General features: G+C 51.8%; 1 protein-coding gene across 5 annotated transcripts in view, besides 4 other annotated features; it reads right to left on the bottom strand.

Annotated features, from left to right (window-relative positions):
- CDH23 (cadherin related 23) overlaps nucleotides 1-26,425 on the bottom strand; it is a 419,028-nt gene that overhangs the window by 235,093 nt on the left and 157,510 nt on the right. For all 5 annotated transcript variants that reach the window (NM_022124.6, NM_001171930.2, NM_001171931.2 and 2 more), the window contains exons 7-9: nucleotides 13,919-14,113; nucleotides 9,937-10,065; nucleotides 2,863-2,941 (exon numbers count right to left, since the gene is read on the bottom strand). In NM_022124.6, coding sequence (NP_071407.4) covers nucleotides 2,863-2,941; nucleotides 9,937-10,065; nucleotides 13,919-14,113 — 403 coding nt within the window. The remainder of the gene's footprint in view (nucleotides 1-2,862; nucleotides 2,942-9,936; nucleotides 10,066-13,918; nucleotides 14,114-26,425) is intronic.
- Nucleotides 8,540-9,041: an enhancer, noted in NCBI's record as "H3K27ac hESC enhancer chr10:73331571-73332072 (GRCh37/hg19 assembly coordinates)". NCBI's record gives its function as "activates a minimal SCP1, AML or CMV promoter by ChIP-STARR-seq in naive H9 embryonic stem cells {active_cell/tissue: H9 hESC(naive)}" and the evidence as "EXISTENCE:reporter gene assay evidence [ECO:0000049][PMID:30033119]".
- Nucleotides 12,443-13,264: an enhancer, noted in NCBI's record as "NANOG-H3K4me1 hESC enhancer chr10:73327348-73328169 (GRCh37/hg19 assembly coordinates)". NCBI's record gives its function as "activates a minimal SCP1, AML or CMV promoter by ChIP-STARR-seq in naive H9 embryonic stem cells {active_cell/tissue: H9 hESC(naive)}" and the evidence as "EXISTENCE:reporter gene assay evidence [ECO:0000049][PMID:30033119]".
- Nucleotides 17,740-18,263: an enhancer, noted in NCBI's record as "H3K4me1 hESC enhancer chr10:73322349-73322872 (GRCh37/hg19 assembly coordinates)". NCBI's record gives its function as "activates a minimal SCP1, AML or CMV promoter by ChIP-STARR-seq in primed H9 embryonic stem cells {active_cell/tissue: H9 hESC(primed)}" and the evidence as "EXISTENCE:reporter gene assay evidence [ECO:0000049][PMID:30033119]".
- Nucleotides 18,264-18,787: an enhancer, noted in NCBI's record as "H3K4me1 hESC enhancer chr10:73321825-73322348 (GRCh37/hg19 assembly coordinates)". NCBI's record gives its function as "activates a minimal SCP1, AML or CMV promoter by ChIP-STARR-seq in primed H9 embryonic stem cells {active_cell/tissue: H9 hESC(primed)}" and the evidence as "EXISTENCE:reporter gene assay evidence [ECO:0000049][PMID:30033119]".

Genomic DNA, 26,425 nt, shown 5'->3' with positions numbered 1-26,425 from the left:
GGGGGGTGGGGGCAGCCCTGTTGAGCCACCCTTACCTACCTTTCTTACCTAGGTAAGAAAGAGCAGGGCTGTCATTTGCTCAAGGGGCTCATTACCCAACAGGGGTTTGGGTGAAGTGAGGTGCTGACAAACACCCACGAAATAGGTAAAGGAAGTTCTAAGGCCACCCTGCACGTGTTGTTCAAGTGGTAACATAGCAAGGATGGCAAATATTTGTCAAACAGTGGCCCTATCCCTTGCCACATCCATAGCAGACTCTGCCAATTGAATACTGCACTCATGAGCCTATTTGGTTCCATGATCCTCTGCAGGCAGCCATTACCAATCAATCAAAGCTGGCATGTGAGAGGTAACCCATTTGTCATCCTTTCTAAAAGCCCTTAAGACACATCTGTGCTGGCAGTGGGAATCCTATAAAGCTATGCTGAATGCCTCAGGCCTTCCAGAAGTTTCTGTCTCCTGCCCTCGCCTCCACACACATCCCTTCCCTGTGGTTTCAAATCCTGGGTCTCCCTTCTCACCCTGTTGTTTGTACTTGGGAGCCTGTCCCAGGAGATTTTGCCACTGGAGATGCTGCAGGCAGTTGTGCCCGGACTCCAAGCTCCAGAGTCCAGCCCAGACACCAAAGGCTTAGCAGCTTGGATCTCCAGCCTCCTTCCCCAGAAGGATAGAGTAGAGAGGTGGGTCTGGCTGGAGCCATCTTTGAAGACTGGAGAGGACCTAAGGGTCTGGACTGGCAGCCTGGCACCCAGCATGAACCTGGAATGGGCCAGCGCCCTGGAGGATGGGCTCACAGGGTCTCTGCAGGAGTTCCCATTCTAAGCATGACCTTGAACCAAGTCCTGGCTCTCTGCTCCCCACCTCCATCCAGGCTGGGGTATATCTGGAACCAGCCCGGAGGCTGTGAGCACATAAGAGACACGCCCCTGCCCAGCCCAGCACCCCCTTCCTGCTGCCGCTCTGTCCTGGCTCCCCAGCTCCATCACCCAGGGCTCACCGGTGTTCCCTCAGTTCTCCAGCACAAGCCCCTGGTCACTGGGAGGCTCCTGCTCTGTGTCTCAATTTGCAAAATTCATGAAGAAGATCAGCACCAAGACAGGCCTCCCCTTCTGCTCTGCCCACCTAGAAAGGGCCTCGATTCCCAGGCAGGTCCTGCCTTCCTGCAGAACAGTTTCCTTCCTGGGCCTGGCTTCCTCACATCCCCGTCTGAAGACTGCCTGCACCTGAGCTGCCTGGGGTGCTGTGAGAAAGGACCATTCTTGGGCCCATCCCAGACCTCCAGAAGGAGAATCTCCATGGGGCCCAAGGACTTCGTAGTTTTGGTAGGAGCCCCGGGAGATTCTTGGGCATGCTGGAGTTTGAAAACTCACTCCCCTAGAGTGACATTCATTCATTTTGCAAGTACATATCGGGGTTTACGCTACACCAGGTCCTGTGCTGGACACCAGAATAATGAAATGGGGGAGGGGGTGGTGCAGAGGCCCAAACCCATGTTCCTGCTGCCAGTCACCACCTGTGCTGGGCTGGGAGTTGCTCTGGGTCCTGGGGTTCCCTGGGCTTAGAGGTGCAACAATAGTCATGTCAGCAGCTGCGGGTCCCAGGGAGCCCATGACACCCCTGGTTTCCTGCATTGCCAAGGACATGAGGTGTCTCCCTCCTACTAGCTAACCCCTAGCTTCCCAAGGTAGCATTAGCTGCTAGCTGTAGTAATAACCACAGCTAACACTTACGTGGTACTTTACATACGTTAACTAAGCCCTTTATATGTTAAATCATCTGACCCTTACATCACCTTGAAGTAGGTACTCTTGTTGCTCCAATTTTATGGAGGTACAGGCAAATTGAGGGACAGGGACCCAGTGAAAATGACATGGCACAGTAGACTCCATCCTCCTCCATGTTCTTGATCACTATGCTTTGCTGTCCTCTGAGCTTTAGGGGCAGGATGCTACTCCAACAATGCCACTCCCAGTTCTGGGGATGTGGGGGTATGGTAGGGAGAGGCAGTGGGTAGAATCTGGCCTGGTGGCCAGATGTCCTTTCGGCCATCAACCTGGCCTGCCCAGATACACCAGGCTGACCCTTCACTGACTCGTGGGTTGGGCAGGGAGGCTGTGTATGGCATGTATGGGGGGGTGGGCAGAGCCAGAGTCTGTGGGCGAGCAGCCTGTCACCACATCCTCAAGGCAACCTTGCTCTAAAACCACCCAGCCCTGGGACAGCCGAACAGAGCTGCCATTTGTCAGTCTTTGGGTGGGGCGTGGGTCAGGGATCCCATCACCCGGAACCATCTCTGCCGTCAGTCACTATTCTGCTCAACCAAGGCAGCTGGGCGGCAAGGGGGCTGATGTTCCCCCCCGCAACATTCCAGATGCGACATGAATTCTTAAGGGTTGGAAATGTGAAAAGAACATGAAATCAGCTGTAGTTGCAGCTCCGTTTGTTCTAAAATGATGCTAGAACTGCCACCTTTTCATCAAATACGAGAAGAAAAAGACAAACCCAGAGCGCTGCAGGAGGTTAGATAGGAGTCACCAAAGTCCCAGGCCCAGAGCCCCAAAGTGCCCAACCGTCTCAGACCTTGGACAGCGGCACACGCGCCCACCCCCCAGTGCCCACCAAGCAGCCCCCAGACAGCTTAGCCTCTGTCGGCTTCCCAGCACCTCTTCTCCCTGTTCCTCCTGCCTTCACTCAGTCACCTTCCTGGCCCTTTGGCGAGGACTGTCCCTGTAGTCAGGTCTCCTACCCTGTCCCACATGCCCGCAGACCTCTCCTTAGCCCTCAGAGCCTGAGATGCCTACTGGCTCTCCTTGGGTGGAGGACAGAGGGGTGAGAGGAGAGAGGGGCAGCCTTCTGTCTTACCTGAAACGATGGTGTAGCCAATGCCCCGGGGACGTCCTTTATCCTGGTCTATGGCGGTGATGATGCGCACCGTCGTGCCCTGGGCAGAAGAGAGGAGGGACTTGAGTTTGGGTCCCCTGGCTGCTGTCTTTCTTTGTAGCTATCATGGCACCCACAGCTTCCCTCCCCAGGCTGATCCTGGCTGCAAGGGCAACCCAGGAAGTAGATGCCAAGGGCTCAGGCATCAGCTGCCCTGGGCACACACTGCAGTTCCCAGGCAAACACCCTAGGGTCCACGGGGAGGCCAAACCTTACCGATGTTATCATTCCCCTTTCCCCTTCCCATATCCCTTATTCAAATGGACCACCACGGAAGAACAGATGAGGGGCATCCAGCGAAGAGACAAGAGATCTGGTCTCAAGCTCAACCACCCATCACGTTGCTGTGTGACCTTAGGAAGGTTGCTGCACCTCTCTGGCCTCACTTTCCCTCCACCTTAATAAGAATAACAGCAAAAAGCCTGGGACCTTGTTTTCACTGGGGTCTGAATAAAGGAGAACATGGTGGCTCAACTACTTTAGGGATGAAAGCATAAATCATGAAAGCAGGTATCTCGGGGGATGACGGTGGCAACTCAGGAGGCCGCCATGGCCCTAGGAACCATGGCCCACACAGCACTGTGCCTGGCAATTCCTGCTTGGAATGGCTCTGCCCACACCCCTACTCATTCTCTCTGCAGCACTGATGGAGAAGGGGCAGGAGCTGGAACTAACAGTATAGGAAGCCAGGGGAACGCGTTCTTGGGGAGCACAGCCTATGGCATGAAGTCAAGAACATCTGAGCAGACAGCTGCTATACGCATATTAGGAGTGCGAATACACATATGGCTCACATGGAGAAACGTACAAAAAAGGGGAGAAGTCCACCTGGAGGAATTGGCGAATGGTCGTACAGATGGCAACATTCAGCATGGGTCATGAAGCATGAGTAGGAGTTTGCCAGGGAGAGAACATGAAGAGGAAGGTGCTCTGGGCAGAAGGCAGAGCTCAGGCAAGTGCCTGGAGGCATAAGACTGTCCTAGGAAGAGATCCTGGCATACAACTGGCACATTCGAATATCAATTGATGGGTTGATTGATTGACTGAATAAACAAACGAACAAACAAGAGTTTGTTTAAACCTTCACAGAGCCCTTAAACCTTAGGGTGGAAGGTCACCGCCACCACTCGCTGAGTCGCCCCTTGCCTGGGGCAGCCTTTACTTGGTTCCCCAGGTCCTATCACACCATGGCCAGTGCCAGCCATGCCTGCCCACCATGCCTGCCTGAGGCTCTGGCTCCAGGCCACAGTGTTCCCCTGGGTGATGGAGAGCAAGATAAGCCTGTCCCCACCCCCTAGGGAAATGTCAACCCTGGCATCTGCATGGCTAATGAAGGGCTCTTGTGTCCTCGGCCACTTCCCTCCACTCACTGTTTATCAGCAGGAGGCTGAAGCCCGAGCTGCACCCCCACCCCCTTCACCTGTGCAGAGGCTTGTTCCCTGACACGCATGCCCTGCGCTCTTGTGGGGCAAGCTACCCCTCCTCTAACTCCACCCAGTCTCGCTGCCATGACACAGCAGGGGCACCCCCCACCTCACCCTCCCCAAGCACTTGTATCCCTTCACAGCAGTTGCTCCGTGCTCTCCTGGCTTGCTAGGATAACTGGGCCTGAGGCCCACTGGATCACCACCCCAGAGAGTCACTAAGCAGTACTCAGGGGCAATTGCATGTCCCAGACACACATGCAGAGCAGGGCTAGGCCAGGCCTGGGACAGTGATCCTCAGGGGGAGACACGAGGGGGCTGGTGCAGGCTTGTGCAGAGGAGACCTGGCGACAAAAGTGCCCTCAGTCCTCAGAGCCCGTGCTGGGCTCCTGCATGGGGCTGCCCAGAGGCCCCCTGGGCGGGCAGGGCTCTGTGGAGGCCAGTCGGTTCTCCAGGACAGGAGGACAATGGGGACTCTTCCTAAAAGAGTCATACCCGAGCTTCTACGAAGCAAGCTCTGACAGGCTCCTGGCAAAGTTTGGGGTTTCATCTTTTTTTGGGTAAATAAATCCACTTTTAATAAAACCCTGAGCTTTTAATACAAGTGCAGCCAGAAAGACTGGAAACATTATGAGAAGGAATTAACAGGGAGGAATGGGGGCTCCTGGGAGCCCACAGCTCTTGTTTCAGAGGCTCAGTGATTATATTTTCAATATACTGAAACTTATTTCCAAAGACGGGGGATGGAGAAGTGCGGCTGTGCTCGGCCCGGAGCCGACCCTGCTCCCAAGGGCACGCTGCCTGCTGTGCTTCTCCAGGGAGCCAGTCCAGCTGGGGTGTGCGCCAGGGTGCGACCTGCCAAGGGCTTCTGCCCTGCACAGGAATCCACATTTCAGGGAGTAGGACGCCTCCGAGAGAGAGGCTACAGTGTGCAGGCCTGCAGGGGCCCCGCTGTTTGTAATGGGAGGAGCAGAAAAGCACCACAAGGTGGTTAAGGGTTTGACTCTGCTGCCAGACTGCGTGCGCTCGAATCCTTTGAGTAAGTTACTTATAACCTCTTTCTGCCTTGTTTTCCCCATCTATAAAATGGGTAAAAATCACAATCCCCACCCCTCAGCAGCCGATAAACGTGAAGCACTCAGAAGAGCACCTGGCACATGGTGAATGCTATAAACGTGATTGTTACTTTATTTGGGCCTGGAATCACTGTGTGCATCTGATGACAACTCAGGGGCCTCTTTCCAGAAAATGCACATCCACGTGGATTTTTCCAAAGAATTTCAGCAAATTCAGACTCCCCAACACCCCATATTAATCATCTCTACCTAGAGGCAAGTGGCTTTCTGTGCATTGTGAGGACAGCTAGCAGCCTCCAGGGCAGAACTGGCACTAGTGGAGTGTCTACGATGTTCCACTGTGTGGGGCCCCCAGCAAGGTTCCCCCTCTCTCTCTTTCCTCACATGGGGGTATGTGTGAGCAAACCGAGGCTCAGAGTGCTCAGGGATTTGCTGAGAGTCACATGGTGCAGTGGGGGGTGGGGTGGAGGGAGGCGGAGGTGACTGGGGAATGGAGGGCAGTGTGGGGTGTGCCTGGGGGACCCCTTTGCTCTCTGGAGGAGGCAAGGGCTCAGGGCTCTGCACCCAGTGCGTGTGCCAAGATGAGGAGGGGGTGAGGTGTGAGACACAGCCCCAGCCTCTGAGGCCCGGGCAGTGGGGACACAGTTGAGAGAAGCTGGACTTCTCTTCCCTCTGTGGCTTGTCCCCTTCCAAAGATGCCCTTGTCAGGAAAGCCGTGGACACAGGAGCCCAGCTGGGCTGTTCCTGGCCTCAGGGACCCACGTCCTCCTCCTGCTCAGCAAGCTCAGCCGGGACACCCCCTACCCCATTTCCATGACGGGATTAAGGACTTGAAAGGTGAACGTGCAGCTTGCTTCAGGAGTAGGAGGCGTCCTTGGGGGGAGCAGGCTGGTGGGGGCTGAAGGGGACTTCCGATGAGAGCTGCCACAGCAGATTCTGAGGTAGCAAATCCTATTTCTCAGTCCTTAATTCCAGTCAATTCCAGTCGAAAGGCTGATAGGCATCGGCTGGCAGTAATTTGTGCAGTTTATCCGCTCTTTTCACCTTCTATCGGCCCTTCACTGACGGGCAGGCCGACATGCTGCTGCTCGAGTGAGGAAATTAAAATCTGATGCAATAATCCCAAATAAGAAGGATTTTATTAGGTAATATATACACTTTAGATGAGGCATGCTAACCTGATACGCTGATAGGGGGAGGCATACATGCTGTGAGCCGCAGATAAAGAGGGGGAGTTGGGGAGAGTGGGGAAAGGTCCGGTGGGGGCCCCGGGGCAGCAGAGGCAAGGCTGGGAATGGGGGTGCTGGGGTCCTCTGGCCTGGGAGGCAGAACAGGCCAGGGTGCATCTCAGCCTGGGCCCGGCCTGGGAATGCTGCGTTAAATCAGGGTTCTACACTGTAAAGGGACATGGAGGGCCCAGATCAAGGCACAGAAACCAATTAGCAGCCGGGAAGGATCAGGCTGGCAGTGCAAGGGAATCGGCCTGCAGGAGAGAGGCTCTGCAAGAGGCGAGGGAACCTGAGAACTCCTCAAGTGTGGAGACTGGAGGAAGGGCAGAGATGTGTGGACACGGAGGCAGATTCTGTGGGCCCCAGGGGAGCCGGGCCAGGCTGGAGGGTCTGAAACCCTCAATGCACTGCCTTTTCTGGCTCCCCCAGCCCAGCCATAAGCCAAGCTGTGGGGCTGAAACCTGCACCACCCAGATCGGGGGTCTAGCAGCTCCCTGGGCATGGGCCTTAGTGCCCTTGTGGAGACAAAGGAACAATACTGGTGAGGCAAAGAGACATCAAGATCCTTGCGTCTGAGAGAGGAGAATCACAGCATATGCCAAGAAATGGAGCATCAGGAGACCGGAAGCTAAGGAGGGCAAGGCTCTGGTTTGCTGAGACTGAGGAGTTGTCCTAGCAGGGGCCTGTGGGATCACCTGTAGAGCAGAGGGCATGGCTTAGCATGGGGCCTGCACATGGGACCAGCCGCATCAATGTCTGATGGGTGCATAAAAGGATGAAGTGCAGACCCAATGGATGGACAGCTCAGAAATCTGCAGGTCTGAAATAAAAGCATGCAAACTTAGCATTGCACGATATACTAAAAAGATACTAGAAAAAGACAACCTAGGGGTCTCAGGGGACACTCACACCAAGAACACACCTCTTGCCAACTACAACGACTCTGAAAGGAAGCTGAAGCTGGGAGCCCCAACCCAACCTAGCTACTGTAATTGACTGACCAGGTCACTGCCCAGCGTGGTTTAATGTCCGCTAATTGGCAGCACTTGCTGTGTGTTTTATGTGCATTATCTCCAACCGTTAAAACCCTAAGGAGAGGGAGGCACCACTGCAGGCACAATTATCCCCCTTTCCCAGTGAGGACCTGGTCAGGAGGCCGTTTGATTCAGCCAAAGTGAGTACGGCAGTGCGGGACTCCTCTGAGCTCCTCTGGCTGCCCAGCCACTGCCATGTTCTATACTTCAATCTAGTTGGCCTTGGGCATCTTCCCTGCACTTAGCTCTGGGCATGATGCCCTGGAGACCCAAAGGAAGGATGAGATCATGTCCCAGAGACTCAGGTACCTTGATTACTGGGGGCTCAGAAGTAACCCACATATATAGGTAACATTACAGGCGAGACTATAATTAAGTGGAAAATTACACAGCATAGAGAGAGTTAATTCTACCAGGGTTGAGGGAGAGGAGTTGCTATCTCTGGGACGGATAGGGAAGAAGCCAGGGAAAAAATTATAAGAAAGGTAGAGAGTGAACTGGGAACAAATGGGTGGGTGGACTTTGGGCTGGCGACAAGAGCAGGCACAGGGGCGGAGAGGGTGCAGGATGGTGAGTATGCTGGTCTGCCCAGGGTGAGGGTGCTTGTTCATTTATCCATTCCATTACCATCTCCTGAGCACACACTGTATGTTATGCCCACAGCAGACCCTGTCCCTGCTGAACTGCACGCTTCCAGTCCTTCAGGGGAGCAGAGGTGGGGCAAGTTGTTCAAGAGTGCTGACCACTCAGGAGATGTCCAGGGGCCATGGGCAGATTGTGGGCCCTGCCTCATCTGAAAACAGCACGTCACAGCTGACCTGATGCTGAGAAGGTATCGGCCTGGCAAAGTTGGGCTAGGGGCAGAGAGAAAAGGGGCTAGGAAAGTCATGGGAAATGGGCTGGGCTGTGCTGAGAAGAGACAGCCTTCAGTCTCAAAAGCAGGGGCTCCCACTGCCCACGGAATGCTAAGAAAGAGAAGGCTGGGGAATTGGGGGCATTGATCTGTCCCCCTCTACTCTCAAAGCAGCTTCAAACACTCAACAGTAGCAGGCCGGAAAGGATCCTGCTTCTTAGAGCCTCCCTCCACACCTGTCCCAAGAAGGAAGTGGCCAAATGCCAGCCCCATACACCAGGAGACTGCGGCCTCATGCTGTGAAGGGAGGCCAGTGGCCAGGGCAGCCATGGTCTCCAAATGAGGGGTCAGGCCCAGGAGCACAGCCTGCACCCCAGTCAAGGGAAGCTCACCTGTCACACTCAATTCTGTGAGCCTGTGCAGGGGTGCGGGTGGGGCCCTGAACGCTCACGAGCCTTAGGCGGGTGCCCCACTTTGCTCCCAAAGCTGAGTCCTTCCTTTAAGCACACTGAGTTCTCTCAAAAGAAGGGGCTCATTTTTCTTTCCCCAAACGCTGTTCCCTAAGCTAATGACCAGGGATTGTGACTGCCTAGGGGAGGCGCATTTTTCTAATTTTTCCACCCACAGCCGGTGTTGCATTCAAGTTTGCACAGACGCACGAATGGTTATGAGACTAGAGATGGCTGCCGTTGCCCGTCTGGCCCACAGCTGAGCAAAGCTGCTCCATCCACAGCCTTGCAGAGTGGGCCGAGGCATGTTTTGTCCTCTAAGACACCCATGGGTAGCCGATCTACAGGCTGGTGACCTATGACCTTGCAACACACCAGAAAAATCAGGAGCCTTTCTTGGAAACCTGGACTTAAGAAATCCAAAGACTGGGCATTAGGGAGGGCAGAAGGAGCTGCAAGCTCGCAGGGAAGAGCCGGGGCCAAGAGGACCCTTGAAGAAGGGCAGCTGCCACCCTCTCTGGCAGTGCTCATCAGCAGAGAGGGACAGACTGACACGGCAGAGACACGGCTGAGCCACACTGATGTTCTGTGGAGCCAGACTGAGTCCATTCTTCAGCACAGGCTGAATTTTCCATGGGATCCCCATCCCTCCACATAAGTCTGTCTGAATGGCTCCCCGTTACTTGCCCTGGAAGCCTTTGTTCTTTGCCACACAGAGCCCCTTGGGTAGAGTGAGAGGGTGAGGAGATGGGCGTGGTGTGAAGAGTGGCTGGGGTTTCGCTGTGCCAGAACACTCATCACTGCCACGCACAGGGACTGCGGAGGAGCCAAGGAGGAGCCCAGCCCACTAACAGGGCCCATCCCTAACAGGAGCTCAGAAGGAAGTCCCTCTGAGAAGGGACTTCTGAGAAGGAAGGGCCAGGAGTCTTACCGGAGGAGAATGCTCGTAGATGTTGGTGCTGTAAGGCAGGTTGATGAAGATGGGGTCCATGTCCTGGACATCTGTGATGATGATGGCCAAGTTGGCCAGGGTGGACAGAGGCCTGGTCTTGTCTTGATCCTTAGAGAGCGGAGAGAACACACAGCCTTAGGTTGAGTGATGGTGGGGACACTCACACACATATGTACACACACACACAGACCTGCACCGTGCAGCACATAAGTGCAAACACATGCACACGCACACACACACCCATGCTCTTGCACTCCAGCAGGGAAGGGCTTAGTAAAAGGAAGCTTAAGAATTCTAAGAAGCCATGGTGATTTCTGAGCTGTACAGGAAAACACAAACAGCATCCCCAAGGTCCAGAGGAAGGCAGCTTATCCAGTGTTACAAAGCAGGGCTGGGGTACAGCTAGACCTCCAGCCCCTAGTAGCCCAGGCCTGACTTCCTTGGACATCCGGTGGTGGGATGACCAGCTTGGAGTAGATATGGTGCTGCCCTCAGCTCCTTTGCTGAGTTCAGCTGGAGGTCACCACCCCTCTCTGTGCCCACTTCCTGCCCCCACTCATCCCAGGGCAGCAGAGGATTGACAAAGATGGGGACTCCTCAGAAGAAAGGCCACAGAGGGGATTAATCTGGCACCTGTGTCCCTGCATTCATGAGTCCCTTGCTTTGGGCTGGGGATTTACTGGTTCAGTGACTTTTCCCAATCCAACCAGCAGGGGGAGCTCCAGGGTCTGTGACATCTGGGGGACTCCGAGAAAGACTCCTGAGAGGTCACACAGGCCATCCCCCTGCAGCCAGGCAAGCAATATTTAAACCGTCAGTTGGGAATTTCATTGTATAAAACCTCAACGATGCATCTGTAGTCCCAGCTGCTCAGGAGGCTGAGGTGGGGCAATCACTTGAGCCCAGGAGTTCGAGGCTGTTGTGCACCAAGATTGCACCTGTGAATAGCCACTGCACTCCAGCCTGGACAACATAGCGAGACCCCCATCTCAAAAAAAAAATTTTTTTTTAATGCTTGGCAAGAAAGAAAACTCCAAATCTATCTTCTACTGTTTAAGTAGCCTGCTGCAACTGAATAACAATAGCCAGCAATAATAGTAACTGCAGTGCTTTGTACAGATGACGTGGCAGCCACTCTACCGGGCACTTCACTCGCATCTGTAGTTATGATGAGCCCATTATTCAGATGAGTTAACAGAGACTCAGAGAGGCTGAGTAACTTGTCCACAGTCATACAACTTCTAAGTGTGTAGCCAGAACTCAAACTCAGATCCTTTCACATAAAAATTTGCCACTAACAGTTTTGACTTGGGGCTCTAACATCAGTTCGGTCTCTTAATTTGCTGAGTAACCTCAAATGAGTTCTTTTTCCCCCTGGGAATCTGATGTCCTTTTCTGTGAGATGAAGGGGCTCAAGTGAATGACTTCTAAGGCCCCTCAGGCTCGAACATTCTCTGAGCTAAGATTTGAGGAGCGACTGTCCCCAGGTTAGCTCTCCCTTAGTTTGTCTGGGGTGACTTGAATGAAGCAAGGCATTCCTGGAGTTCCAAGAAGCCTGGTGCCTCCTCCTGGCCTGCAGAGATGGAGCTGCTGTGCCTAGGAGAAGGGAGGGCTGGTTGTCTTTAGGAATCCTCAGGGACAGCCAATGAGAGGGTGGGAGGGCCTTTAGGGATGGGAGTGGGTGCTGCAAGGGAGAGGAAGGTCTGGAAGCAGGAGGTGAGCAGAGAGGTTCTCGGCAGGCAGCCTCCCAGGCTCCAGGACTGGGGCCCACACGGCAGGCTTGGGCACTGCCCATGGGGAGAGCTCCCAGCTAGGGACCTGAATGACCACCAGGCACCCAGGGCTGGAGCGGGGAAGCTCAAAACAAGTCCCCTGACCTCTTGGACAGGGGATGCCAGTGGCTCTGATTTGCCATAACCAGGCTTTTGCAGGCAGCTGGCTTTTGTCTAGCCTGGCACAGGCCCTCTCTGTCCCATACCTGTGACTGCAGTCCTGTTCATGCCACAAATGCCCCTGCCCAGCCCACTCTGGACTCTGTGGTGGGGAAAGGGGAGTGATCCTGTCAGGCTCCCAGCTGTAACTCTGGGGCCCATGGCTCTCAGCAGCTTGTTCCCAGAGGATGCCTCAATTTCCCCATCCTGGTACCAGCTCAGTGGTGGCTGGGAACTGACACTGTTGCCCGCAATGCCAGGCCGAGAATCTCCTTCCTTGGGGAAGTGCTCAGCAGCCAAGGGCACAGCACCAGCCCCGAGAAGGACTCGGTGTCAGCTCCTCCAGAAGCAAGGGAGAAGCCATCTAGAGAGGGACTTCTAGGGCCCCTCCTGTTCTGCTGCTTCCAAGCCTGATTACTGGGAGAGTAACAGCAATTTAACTGTATTCATCATCCCAGCTTGAGCCCAGTCCTCTTGATAGGCCCCGCCACCCAGATTCTTGCCTGTGCCCAGCTCTGGTCTATTCCCCACGGTCCAAAGCCATTTTTATGGTGGGTGGAAATTATCCCACAGCGGGCAAGCATCTGCGTGTTTCTGGGCCCTGGTGTGTGCAAACAGTGCGGTGGAGGGGCAGCGCATGTGTGGGTGCCAGGCTGCATGGAAGGTGCAGGCAAATGTGCACAAAAAGCAAATCCTGGGCTTGCATGTCCCCTTGACCTCTGAGGTCAGTTTTACAAACAGCAGCACACAGCTCCTCCCAGGCAACTAACACTTAAACAGGGGAGAAGGAAAGAACGTGAGTGTCACCTGCAGTGACCTCCCCACAGCCACTGGGCCAGGGCCAAACAAGAAGTTCGCATTTCCTGGGTCTTGAGGCCTCTCTCTGCATCTTGGCCAAGTCTGGGGGCACCCCATCTTTCAAAACTGGATTCTGGACCCAGTCCAGATCCAGAGCCTTGGATCTAGAGCCTGTGACCTACCAAGGAGAGCCCCCCAGCGCTGCCGGCAGGCCCCTTGACAGCTATGTGGGTCAGGAGTGGATGCTGAGTGTCAGGCAGATAGGACCTGGAGGGTTGAGAGGGACTCCCATGTTTTTTTGCTCTTGGCGTAAGCTTTGTCAACAGAATCTAAGGGACAACAGGCCAGCTTACGGCCCTGCTGCCAGCTGATGGCTCCAGCTATGCCCTGAGGCAGCAGCTGGGAGCAAGGAGAGGGGGCGGGTAGGGGGAGGACCCTATTTAGAGTGTGGCTTGCCTGTTCCCCAGGATCTCCCAAACAGCTGGCACAAAGGGCATGCTGCGATGTTCTTGAGACCTGGAGATGTCTAGCCATGGGGCATGGTGGTCAGGGCACTGGACTGAGAGGTGGACAACCTGGTTTGGGTTCTTGCTCCGCCACTACTCATGGGCTGTGTGACCCTCAACAGAGTCAGCCATCAGATGGGATAATTACCCTCTCCTGCCTTCTGCCCTTGACTCACTCATCCTGGAATTCCCAGGGGCCAGCAATGTGCTTGGCACAGAGGGATGATGTGGAATGTCACCACTCTGTGGAGTAGAGGCAGGATGCCTGAACTCCTTTGGGCCCTGCAGGTTGGATGGTGTCAGGACACAGCTGGGTGAACACCTCTGTCCTGTGTCCCAGAGAGCAAGAGGCACTCTGCACTAAGAATGTCTCAAGGAAGTTACCCGAGCAGGCTATGGAGTCGGGCTCCTGGGTGACCATGGAAAGTCACTGAATTGCTCCTGTGCCTCAGTTTTCTCATCTGCAAAGTGGGCATCTTAACAATACTTATGACACGGGGCTGCTTGAGGTTTAAAGTCCCTTTGAGTGCTCAGCACGGTGCCAGGGACACAGCACAAAGCCTCAGTAATGCCAGCCTCATTTCTATCATGACTGTCACCACTATAATTATTATAGATCATCGAGTGTGTGCCACTGGGTCAATGTCCCATTGGAATGCCCCGTCACTCTCTTCCAGGGTGGGAAGAGGCAGCTGGGACGGCCGGGGCCCCAGCATGGAGACTCACTGTGGCGTTGACCGTGAGCTGGTAGGCCTGTGTGGTCTCGTAGTCCAGCTCCCGGATCACTGTGACGATACCGCGGGCGCTGTCAATGGCGAAGAATTGGGAGGGGGGCTGGAAGGAGTAGAGGACGCTGCCCCCTGCCCCCAAGTCGGGGTCTGTGGCATTCACGATGAAGATGGGCGTCCCCACTGGTGTATTCTGGGGATGAGAGCAAAGCAAGTACAAGGGTGAGCCAGTGCGGAGCAGCTGCGCCATCAGGGCTGAGTCCCTCAAAGCCCATTCTCTACATCCTTCAGCCAACCAGACCCGAGGCCTTGTCATTTTCATTCTAGGAGGGGCCCCAAAATTTAAAATGCGGTATCTTTTCTTTTCCTCTTCTTCATTTTTTGATGGCCTCCTGGTGGCTGTAAAGAGCACCAGTTCCAAAGATGATTTGCTTAACCTAGAGTTCTGGATGAGGGGTCTTACGGTCCCCAAACCTGTTTCTTGGTGGTTTCGCTTCCTCTGTCAAATGCTCCTTGGCTGCCCAAGCTGCAGGCTTCCTTTTTGGGGACCAGCCTCAAGCCTCCCTCCTGGCAGCCCTTCACAGACAGACCATGCACTTAACACAGGGGTGCTCTTTACGGGGCCCCTGGTCAGGCTGGAAAGGGCCTCCGGAGAACAATGGATGGGGCTGCTGAGGGTTCTTCCTGGGTTTGTGGATTTGCCCCCATCAGCAGACAAGTGTCAACCTGAATGGGCAGGCTCACGTCCTGCCTGTTCCAACCACTCTGTCCACTGGGGACAGGAGGCAGATGCAGGGCGCCCCTCTCCTCCTCACCATCCGTGACTCCCCAGTGCCCTTTGCATAGAACACAGGCCCTTGTGGTCCATTCCCGTCTCCCCCTTCACATTTTATTTCCTGGAGGCATGGAGCTATTTATACTTCTTGAACCCAGCAGGCTCCCTCACACCTCTGGCTGTCTGAATGTGCTTTTCCTTTGCTAGGTTTGCCTATCCTAATTCAGCTGCTTGGAAGATGCTCATTCCCTCCAAAACAGAATCAAGTCTGCAAGGGGGCAAAGCAGACAAGTGCTAGAGTTTCAGGGATGGACAGACCATTTGTTGGAATCCCAGCCTTGTTGTGTGTCTTTGGGTTAATTACATAATCTCTCTGATCCTTAATCCCTTCACTGTACACTGAAGCTAATCATATCTCACAGGGTTAGTGTGAAGAATACATAAGATCATGAGTGTAAACATTCTAGCACATAAGTGCTGAGAAGACAGTAGTTGCAATTTTAATTTCTGGAAACCTAGAGGGGCACAGACAAGGGCACCTTCAAGGGTGGGGCAGGGAGGTGTCAAGAAGCACTGATATTAACAGTACCATCCAGGGCATTCCCTGTCTACCCACTCCCCTGGCACCATGATCCACCCAGTTCTGCCTTTCCCCAATCCCCGGGCTCTCAATGGATTGCATCTCCAGGCTCTCTTGCTGGCTGGCTTCCAGCTGGATTCTGCCAATGGGAAGTTCTGGTAGGAGCTCCCAGAGCAGGAAGAGAAAGAGTTTGGGGTCTTACTTCCTCTACCCCCTCCAGCTCTACCCCAGCAGGCTCTCTTCCATGGCCCCAACTCTCAGTGGGCTCTGATAATACAATTTTCGTCTCCTTTCCCTTCAGCCCTAGGGGTAGAACTTTCCCCTGTTGCTAAGCCCTGGGTACCTTAGCATCCCTTATTTCCACCACCCCTCCCCCACCTTAAGGAGATCTTTCTGAGGTTCTCAGCTAACCCACAGTTCTCTGTCCTGCCCTCTCTCTTTCTAGATCACACAGAAGTGCCAGAGCCAGTCCCATGAATCCAGAACGAAACACTTCATGGGGGCCCACGGCTCCTGCCACAAGAAAGGAGGGCCACATTCTGATTTCAGAGCTGCCAGCCCCCTGTGTGAAAGTCTGCTTTTGTACTTCATATGTATCTATATCTAGCCATGAATAATATAAGATACTGTTTTGTGGGTATTTGTAAATAGATGGTTTTCATATACAATAGATCACTCTGAAGCTTGCTTTTTAATTCAACATTATGCTTTTATGTTTATTTGATTCGGTAATCAAAAATCTTCCAACAAAGAAAAGCACAGGACTCAACAGCTTCACTGGTGAATTCTACCAAATATTTAACAACAACAACAACAACAGGAAACAGGGTAGCCGGCCCTCACTTCAGAGCACTCGGCCAGTCTACTTAAACCACTCTGTATGAAGCTGGCGCCCAGAGGAGAGGGACGGCTCCCGTGAGATGTCAGCTCTCCAGCTCCCTGCCTCGGGGAGGCGAGGACATTTGACTGTCCATACCGCATGGTCCTGAGGGGAAGCCTCTCTGATCCTTCTGCATCTGATCAGAGGATTTAAGAGCAAGATTCAGGAAATGGTGGAAAAGGGGAAAAAGAAGTGATGGTCTCCACGTCTGACCTTCTTGGATTATGTTTCATGCCCTGCGGTGAAAACCCATTTAATTTCTGCATAACTTAGAGAAGGTTTTAAATGGGCCTGGCAAGGAGCCATTCATATACTTAGAAGGGACAAACTATTGGAGAGAAAAGAATGCTGACTTCCTGCATTTCAGGTCCTGGGCACCATGCTCTATCAGGGAAGTAGATGCGGGGAAGGAGGGGCGCTCATCAGCACATACACTGGGGGCTTGTCTGAACACCCAGCTGCTGTTCCATGGAAATGCACAGACATGCACACAGATCTGCAGACTCAATGCAAGCAGATTTGCTTTATGGGGCCAGGTGCATCTGGGTTTCCAGGTAGGCTACAGGGAGTAACACTTGGTGGCTCAGAGCATGAATTCTGAGTTAGACTCCCTAACTTTGAGTCTGGAACTTTCCCCTGGGAGATTGCAGACATATGCTGTTAAACCTCTTTTTGGCCTCAGTTTCCTCATCTGTAAAATGGAGCTGTTAGCAGCTCCTACCCAGGAGTTCAAGACTAGGCTGGCCAACATGGTGAAACCCCGTCTCTACTAAAAATACAAAAATTAGCTGGGCGTGGTGGTGCGTGCCTGTAATCCCAGCTACTGGGGAGGCTGAGGCAGGAGAACGGCTTGAACCCAGGAGGCGGAGGTAGCAGTGAGCCAAGATCATGCCACTGCACTCCAGCCTGGGTGACAGAGCAAGACTCCGTCTCAAAAAAGAAAAAAAAAAAAAGAAAAAAGAAAAAAAAAGTATTATAAGAGATAAGGTGTGAAAAAAAGAGAGTCTCCTTGGGCCAGACACACAGCAACACTGAGCAACACTCGATAAATGGTTATTGCACTTATTACTATAGTAATAAAATATCATTACAGGCAGGGTGAGATGAGCCCCACATAAAGGGGGAAGTATTAGAAATAGTGTAAACAGTTAATGAATCTCTTCACCATGAACTTGGGACAAATGGGCACCTTAAAATTCAGAAAGAGAACATCTCTGCTGATTGGATCCTGGCTGCTGAAGACAAGATGAGGATGGAAGAGCCCCAGAAGACCTTCCACAATGGGCTTGAGAGCCTGTGAGGGGAGGGGTGGGATCTGAGGCAGGGGTGAGGGGGGCACCTGGGGGCCTGGGAGGCTCCTAAACGAGGAAGCCAGTCCTGACCATACACCACCCTGGATGGCTGGAATGCAGGAGCTGGAAGGAACCTTGGGGTCATCTAGTCCAGCCTCCCCATTTCCTAGGGTGGACTACAGATGTGAAAATGAGCCCAGAGAGGGGATGTGCCTTGCTCCAGGCCTCACAAGTGGATCATGACAGAGTCGAAGAGTGGAAATCGGGTGCCTTGACTCATACGGAGTGCTCTTTCCACCCCACCCAAAGAGATACCAACAGCTGCCTCCCCACCCACCCTCCTTCCAAGAACAGCTGCTCCTCATGACCACAGCTCTGCTCTAGGTGATGGGTCTAGGCACTCATGTTTGTTCCAAGTGACTTCAGACCCAGGCCATGCCAATCAGGTGGGGCCTGAGAAATTAAATCAATTTTCTCTGAGAATCTGAAAGAAAGATCTTGTTATCTGGCTGGAGTGGGCACCATGACAGGCCGAGAGCCACACAAAAGCCACAGTTACAGGGTGGCAGAGATGCCACAGGCAGTCAGAGGAAGCCCACCTGCAGTGAGCGGAGCAGAGCACAGTGCAGGAGAAAAAATGGAGATGAGGGCCTCCAAGAGCCTCCCACCCTGGCTGTCCCAGGCCCCGCTGACTTTGTCTCCTGCCCATGGCTGCGGTGCTGGGACCTGCCTGTGCCGTCCTTTCTATGGGCACCCCACTTGCTCACGCTGGCCTGCATGGGTCTCAGCTCCTTGCTCCTGCCCCCCAGAACATGCCCAGCCATGGGCAGGGCCTCCTCATTTCCATGGCTCTGCCCCAGGCTCACCCAGACCCTCTGCTGATGGGACTCTACCTCTTTAGCGCCCACAGCAAGCAAAGTGCCAGGCCACCACTCCTGGACTGCTAATGAGGGCACAGTGCCCGCCACCCGAGGCTGGAAGTTACAATGGGGAGAAGAATCAAGGAGCCTGGGTAAATGCCAGCTCCCTCTTCTTTTTAACCGTCTCCAGACACTCCTATTAACGTGCAAATCCAGGTTGCAGGCAATTATCAGCATGCGCATGGGGAGGTGGCCGGACGGGCAAGGGATGGCTTGATCATGGACTTCACACAGTCAGCCAGGACAGGCCTTGAAGAGAGATGCTCGGCAGGGCCAGACTTTGCCATCTGAGGACAAGGAGAATGAGTGGAAGATGTCGCTCTGGTGTCTGGGGTGGGGTTCGGGGCGTCTGGGGTGGGGCTTGGAGTGTCTGGGGTTGGGGCTGCACGGGTTGGAGTTGTAGAAGCAGCACCAAGAGGCCTGTTGCAGCTGGGGGTTGGGCTCCTCCTTTCCAGGGTAGCTTCTTCCAACACCTCCATTGTGGACACTCGCCCTGGGTCCAGCTTCTTGCTGGAAAGGAGCAGCCGTGGTCTTTGGAAGAAAGACCCCATGGGGCATGATCACTTCTGCTTCTGAGGGAGGCCTCTTGACCCACTTCTCTGCCCCACCCCTGCTTCCCTCCTCCCCTCCTTCATGGTACCCCCCTGCCCAGTCCCACCTACTCCCTTATGGCTTCTGGGCCATTTCAAAGGAAGTCTCCCCAAATGTACACCCATGCCTTCAGGGGACCAGGGAGCATGTCTAGGCATTATCCCCTTCAAAATTCTTGCACCTGCCAGGTTGTCTCTCTCGCCAAGTAACCCACGGCAGGTCTTGCCTCTTCCAGTTCCCATTTAAGCTCCATATCACTTCTGATGGACCTGCTGTAAATGGGCCACCCTGTGCAATTCAGAGACAAATAAATCTTTTTGCTACTCCTGGGGTGACAAGGGAATAGACTCTGGGAAAGTTCTGCCGTGCAAAGGATCTTGTTTGTTAATAATAATGATAAATAGCTCACTTCTCACATGCAGTGTGAGTTACATTACACTCCAGGCCTCTCCAGAGGTGGCTAGGTTGCTCACTGGAACAGGGTGAGGGAGGGTGTGCAGCAAGGGAGAAAAGGCCAGAGGGAGTGGGGCAGAGAGGCAGGAAGGAGGAACCAGACAGAGAGAGCAGTAAAGAAAGGGGGGCAGGGAGGAGGGGCAAGGAGAAGGAAGAGCACAGGAACACAGAGGAAAATGCGGTGAGAACAGTGAGAGGGGCAGGACTGAGGGCCAGAGTGAAAACGGGATAAAGTGGAAAGATAATTTGCGAGAGAAAAGGGAGGAAAGGAAACTTGGGGAGAAAGGAACTAACTGAAACAGGAAAAAAAAGAGACATTCTAGAGGAAAACTTATGAACAGAGGAAAAGACATACAAAAATTAAGCAGCAAGAGAAAGGAAGATAGGAGAGAGAGAGAAAAGAAGGACGCCACACCCTCTCACCTTTAGGGTGCACCTGCTCCCTTCACCCCCTTCAAGATTTATGCTGTACCCTTGACCAAACTTTGGCAAAAAGCCCTACCATTTCCACCATAGGTGCCATCTCTAAAGGTGTTATTAATATTTATGGAATGCTTGCTAGATGCTGCTACAGTCTTTAATATCTTATTACAGAGCCTGTTATAAAATGCATTAGTAATAAATTCCTGACAGATGGAGTCCTGACAAGGTGCAGGCTTCTCGGTGGATCAGAGCTGGTAACAGCCTCCTGTGCTACTCAGAGGCTGGGCAGCTGTCTGCTGGGGCTGGGGTGGGGAGAGGAGAGGGGCTAGTGGGATTCTGCCCTCCCATCCTCTGCCCTCAGTTGCATTTTTATACACCTCCGCTCCCTGCTTCCTTTTCCCAGATGGGGAAAATGGAAGGTCAGAGAAATGAAGCCACTTGTCCAAGGTCGCACAGATTGTAAGTGGTGGAATCAGGATTCAAAGTCGGGTCACCTTTCTGTGCCCAGACCTCAGGATTCCAGAGAAAAGGGTGGAGAGTGGGCTCAGGGCCCCTCCTCAAGTGGGACTTCCTGGTCTGGAAGGGCTGGGGATGAGGGTGGCAGCTGAAGACGCCTCTAGGTAAGAGAACAGAGGTTTGGTGGGGAGCTGTAGCCAAAAAAGAGCTTAGGAAGGAAGGAGGGTACTTCAAAATTGCACACTTTCACTGAGAATAAGAAAATGGGCTCCCATTGGAACAAGAAGAATTCAAGTCAGAGGCAAGGAACTTTCTGAACATGGGCTCCTGGGGCAGAGGAGAAACATCTGCACTTCGGTTTCTGTTGGATGCTAAAGCAGGCGCCTCTCCTACTGGGATGCTTTGGGAGGATGTCACTTCCAAATATGGGGGTTTGTGGCATTCCAGCTTATGGGGGAGCAGTGATGGAGGAGAAATGGGGTCTATGGGAGAGGTGGGCTATGTTTCTTTCTCAAATAGGCAGGAAGGCACTTGAGCGCAGGAGGACGAGGTCCACACAGAGGACAGTATAGGGGAGAGAAGCAGGAGGGGCGAATGCCCATGGGGCACCAACACATATCTCAGGGAGCCCCATTCTGGTCAGGGAGGGGCACATGTGTGCATAAACCCATGTGTACCCATACTCCGGCATCTCTGCCTGGAGGAATCGGGGAGCGATAATTTGACGACATCTCTTCTTTCTACCAGTATTTGCTCTCTTGGGTGAAATGTACTGGATCTAAAATGTGCCAGGTATGCTCTGAGAGCCGGGGTGGGCTGCCAGCTCTGTGGCCTGGGCCCTAAGTCACTCACACCCTGACATGGCTCGAGGACATCTCTCTGGGCCTAAGCTGGTCTCCCCAGCTGTTCTGGTCTCCTCCAGAGCCAACTCAGCACCCTCCCATCTCCAAGTCCCTCCTCAGAGTCCCTCCTTCACAGCTTCCAGCTGTGTACTGGCTTTTTGGAATCCCTGAAAGACACTCATCAAAGTGCTTATCGAATGGCCCTCCTGACCTGCTGCAGCCATACGAGACCTCCCCCTCTTTCCCAGCTCCCACTCTTCACCCTCCTCTTCCTTTTTGCTATTTACCTTGGATACCTCTTTAGTCCTGGCACTGTCACTTGTGCATAGAAGGCATTCAATAAATGTTTTAAAAGAATCAGGATTTTGTGGTAAACATGGCAGATTGAACACATCCATTTAATTCTGTTTTTGTCCCAGCCCCTCACCAAAATGACAATAAAGGAATTAAAAATGCACAAATCCACAAGGGCAAAAAGAACAGGAGAGGAGACAACAGCAGATGAGAGATGTCAACAAAATTCTGGAAACTGGAAACAGATGGGCCAGTTATAACTGCCTTAGGAGACGGGTGAGCTGAAGCTCAGGCCGGCATCTCAGAACACTGGAAAAGCTCAGGACCCGGAGACACCAGGTGATGCTGAGTGGGAGGGAATGGGGTGGGGCCAAACAGCTTTAAAAAGAGTGGTTAGACTCCCAGATCCCTTCCCCAACTCTTGCAGAAAATGTGAGATTTACTTTCTAGAGGGTCTGAGTTAGTTGGGTTCTGGACTCATGGATGGAAGCTGAACCAGGCACTGAAAACAGGGAGGTTAGGAGGAAATCTGTACCCTCCCCACCAATCCCATCCCTCTTCAGTTCTCTTTAGCCATTCAGCCTCCTGAAGGCTCCAGGCAGTAAAAAGGAAAACTGGTGCAAGAGAAAACACAAACATTGACATGTTGCAGATCCCTCGAAAGAACAGCCAGGTCCTCCTCCAATCATCCCATAATGGAGCCCACTGGCTAACAAGCAGTCCCAACCATGCCCTGCTCCACACATACACAGCAAGCTTCCAGGCAGCTACACGTGAACTCACTGGTATATATGAAGAGACAACTAAGGATCACTAAACATTTGAGAAGAGCCTCTAACATGAAAGACAGAGTGGGAAAAAACAGTAAAAAGGAATAACAACAATAAGCATCTTTAATATGCTCAGAAAGACAAGACACAACATCTTTGGAAAAAGAATATTCCAAGAGGAAAAAAGGCCCAGTAGAAATTTAAAAACTTAAGAGAAGAGTTGGAAGATAAAGAAATTTCCCCAAAAGTAGAAACAAATTCAAAGGGATGAAATGGGAGAGAAAAGTAAGAAAATTAGAGGAGCAGTTCAGAATATCCAACATTCCAACTAATAGGAATTCCAGAGGAAAAAAAATACAGGCCAGGCATGGTGGCTCATGCCTGTAATCCCAGCACTTTGGGAGGCCGAGGCAGGTGAATCACCTGAGGTCAGGAGTTCGAGACCAGCCTGGTCAACATGGTGAAACCCCTGTCTCTACTAAAAATACAAAAAATTAGTTGGGCATGGTAGTGGGTGCCCATAATCCCAGCTACTCAGGAGGCTGAGGCAGGAGAAACGCTTGAACCCAGGAGGGAGATGTTGCAGTGAGCCAAGACCATGCCATTACACACCAGCCTGGGTGACAGAGTGAGACTCTGTCTCAAAAATAAATAAATAAATAAGTTAAAAAAAAGAGTAAATGAAGAGGAAGAAATCATCCAAAAAGTAACATAAGAAAATCTCCCAGATCTGAAGGACCTGTTTCCAGATTGAAAGAGACCAGTATGTGTTCAGAAGAAAGACTCATACTGAGGCATAAAACCATGAAGTTTCAAAAACGTTGATTATTTTTAAAAAATCCTGAGACTTTCAGAGAGAAAACAAAAGGTCATATACAAAGGATCAAGAGTCAAAGTGGCACCAAATTTCATAACAGTGACACTATAGGCTGAAACACTAAGGAAGAAATAAGCTCACATTATAAAGAACACTATTTCCATTCCAGAATTCTATACACAGCCAAACTATCAACAAACAAAAGCATAGCATGAACGCATTGTTCAGATGAAGTGAAAAAAATTCCCATGAACACTTTTTTCTGAAAATTACTGAAGAGTGTACTTCAAGAAACTGTAAACCAAGAAACAGGAAAATATGACATTCATGAAAAGGGATCCAATAGAGAAGAGAGATAACAGATTCCTCAGAGTGACCCTCTTTTCCTCTCCAATGCCCACCCCACATCAAGCCTCCAGAACACCACACAAGTCAGAGCACAGCTGGCCCATGTTGAGACAGGAGGGTGGACACTCCAGGGAGAATGTTGTTAAGAAAAATGAAAATCAAATTTTAAAAACTCAATATACTTTGAATATGCTGAGAGGCTCCCTACATCAAGCATTAAGGAACACTAAGAAACAAACAAAAAAAGAAGTGATTACTAATTCTAGAGAAAATAAAAGAGGAAATATAATTACAGTATATTATGTGGCTCAGCTGTGAATAACATTTACATAATCATAATACTGTGTACACTAAATGCTGTTTTAGCTAAAAAGAGAAATATAATTAAGTTTGGAGGATGGATAGTGAATGTTAAGAGAAGGGTGTTTATGTAGGGTGTATGTATGTTAAGAGTAGGACATAGTGAAAGTTATGAGTAGGATGTTTGTGTAGGGTGTATATATGTTAAGAGTAGGGTTCAGTGAATGTTAAGAGTAGGGTGCATGCTCCAGTGTGTGTGTATAGCAAAGATAAGGTAGAGGATGGTGTAAAAGTGAAATTCTCATCCTTCATAGGTGAAAAATCAATAGATAATATTCAAAACTAAAACAATGTATAGGCATGTGATTTAGAAATAAGGAAGTAAATATCAGAAATTGAATGAGGTTCTCTATGGGTGGGAAGCAGGAGTGGTAAAGAATGAATCAGGGTCTGCTGCTTTTATTATAAGCTGAGCTGTACTATTTGACTTTTAAATTCATACATATATTACTTTGATAAAGGTTAATATCAAAATTAAAAACAGTTTTTCCCTATGGCTGCACCACTGAGTGGCCTCCTCCCTTTCTTTTCTTTTCTTTTTTTTTTTTGAGACCGAGTCTCGCTCTGTCACCCAGACTGGACTGCAATGGCATGAACCTCCGCCTCCCAGGTTCAAGCAATTCTCCTGCCTCAGCCTCCCCAGTAGCTGGGATTACAGGCTTGTGTCACCATGATCAGATAATTTTTGTATTTTTAGTAGAGACAGGGTTTTACCATGTTGGCCAGGCTGGTCTTGAACTCCTGACCTCAAGTGATCTGCCTGCCTCAGCCTCCCAAAGTGCTGGGATTACAGGCATGAGCCATGGTGCCCAGCTGCCTCCTCCCTTTCAACTCTGCCCCCTGCAATGGATCCTGAAAGTCCCTGCCTTAAAGCACTCATCCAGCATCTCATTTCCCCCCAAATCACCATCATCTGCTCCAAGGCAAAGTCTCCCAAGCCTTGACCATCATGATAGTCTCAACAAACTTTCTCTCTTTAAACTCTTCTTTCACTACTGCTCCACTGAGGTCCTCGATTTCAGTTCAGCTATTCTATGTGCCAGCCCCAAAGTGTGGTCCCCTTCCAGGCCTGTGCTCATGGTGCCTCTGTCTTTTTGACCTGCCTTCCTTTGGATATTTCCCCTAGAGAGCAGACGTCAGACATCACCACCCAATGACTGACACTCCCTCCCTTCTTAGAAGAGGCTGTTGGCTCCACCCAGGTTTCTAGCACACATGCCTGGGTCTGGGGCAAGACACCCTCTCCCTCACCCCATGCACACATGCTGGACATGCAGAGCTAGGTGGAGTCTCATCAGAGGGACATCTGGGGCCTCCCTCCCTTCTTCTCAGGAGCTTGACTTTCAAGGCCAAGTGTGATACCCAAGCATGAAACAGCCCCAGCTCCTTCCTATTCAGAGACTAAGGAGCTCCAAGGCAAGTTTCCTTACCCTTGACTCCAACTGAGTGACCTTCCTGTAGAATGAATGACAGTAGAATTTGGAGATCCCCCAGTGCCACCTGCCATCACTGACAATATTCCAGGGCCGTCCCTGCACCTGCCTCCTCCAGGCTCCCCCTGCATCTTCTCACTTGCAGACCAGCAGGAGCAGAGGGAGAGAGCACGTGGCAGCAGAGGGTATCATGCATCAGGGACGGACGGCTGGCCCACATACAAAGGATCAAGAGTCAAAGTGGCACCAAAGTTCATAACAGTGACACTATAGGCTGAAACACTAAGGAAGAAATAATTTCACGTTATAAAGAATGCTATTTCCATTCCCAGCAGTGGGCTAAGGGCTGTGCGCAAAGAAAAAGGGAACAGGGAGGGCCGTGGTGACGGTGCAGCCCTGATACCCACCCTGGCCCCAGCGCCCAGGACATCTGCTTTCAACACCAGGCAGCATGTACCAGGTACCACCCCCTCCCTCGTGGGCTGGGCTTCTGTTTTCCTCTCCATGAAATGGGAGGAAACCAAGAATAAAGGTATGAGTTGGGAAATCCAGTTCTTAGCTATTTAGAGTCATAATCTCATACCCCTCCCTAGCCAGAGTGATTGGTCTGATTGGCTGCTGGAAGCCTCATACCCCCGTGCCCTCAAGTAGGGACTTGGAAACAAGCTTCTGGAGACCAGGAAGGATCCGTGTGGTGCCTGTATTCCTCTCCATGCACACTGGCCTGATTAGGAAAGTCCCAGAAACAACTGTCCCAGACTCTGGGTCACAGTCCAGCTGCTCTCCAATAACTTCCCACTTCCTTCTCTGTTGCTATGCAATGTCAACATAAACATCTGATGCCTCAGTGTTTCCATCCAGGAAATGGGTATAGTAATCCCTATACTATCTTCTATAGAGAGCTGGGGTGGAGATAAAATGAGTTAACTATGGAAACATATTTTGAAAAATCAAAGGCCAAAAAAAAAAAAATTCTCACAACTTTCTGCAGAGGCAGAAAACTCCAAGAGAAAAATCCAGGGAATGATACGATGTGATCTATAAGAAGAGTCCTGTCTAAAAAGCTAGCCTGTAGTCCAGAAGCTGGGCCATCACGGTTCCAGGGCACTGTCTCTGAACCCAGGGCTGCAGGGGCTGGAGGCATACAGTAACCTTGAGACTTGGTAGATTCTGAAAAGTGGTGACTGAGAGACGCAAGGAGTCTCCTGGAATTTTTTTTAAATAAGAAAAAGACTAGCACTTTGGGAGGCTGAGGTGGGAGGATTGCTAGA

The sequence above is a fragment of the Homo sapiens genome, chromosome 10, assembly GCF_000001405.40.
Source record: "Homo sapiens chromosome 10, GRCh38.p14 Primary Assembly".
NCBI lineage: Eukaryota > Metazoa > Chordata > Mammalia > Primates > Hominidae > Homo > Homo sapiens.
This window is presented reverse-complemented; position numbering and strand designations above follow the sequence as displayed.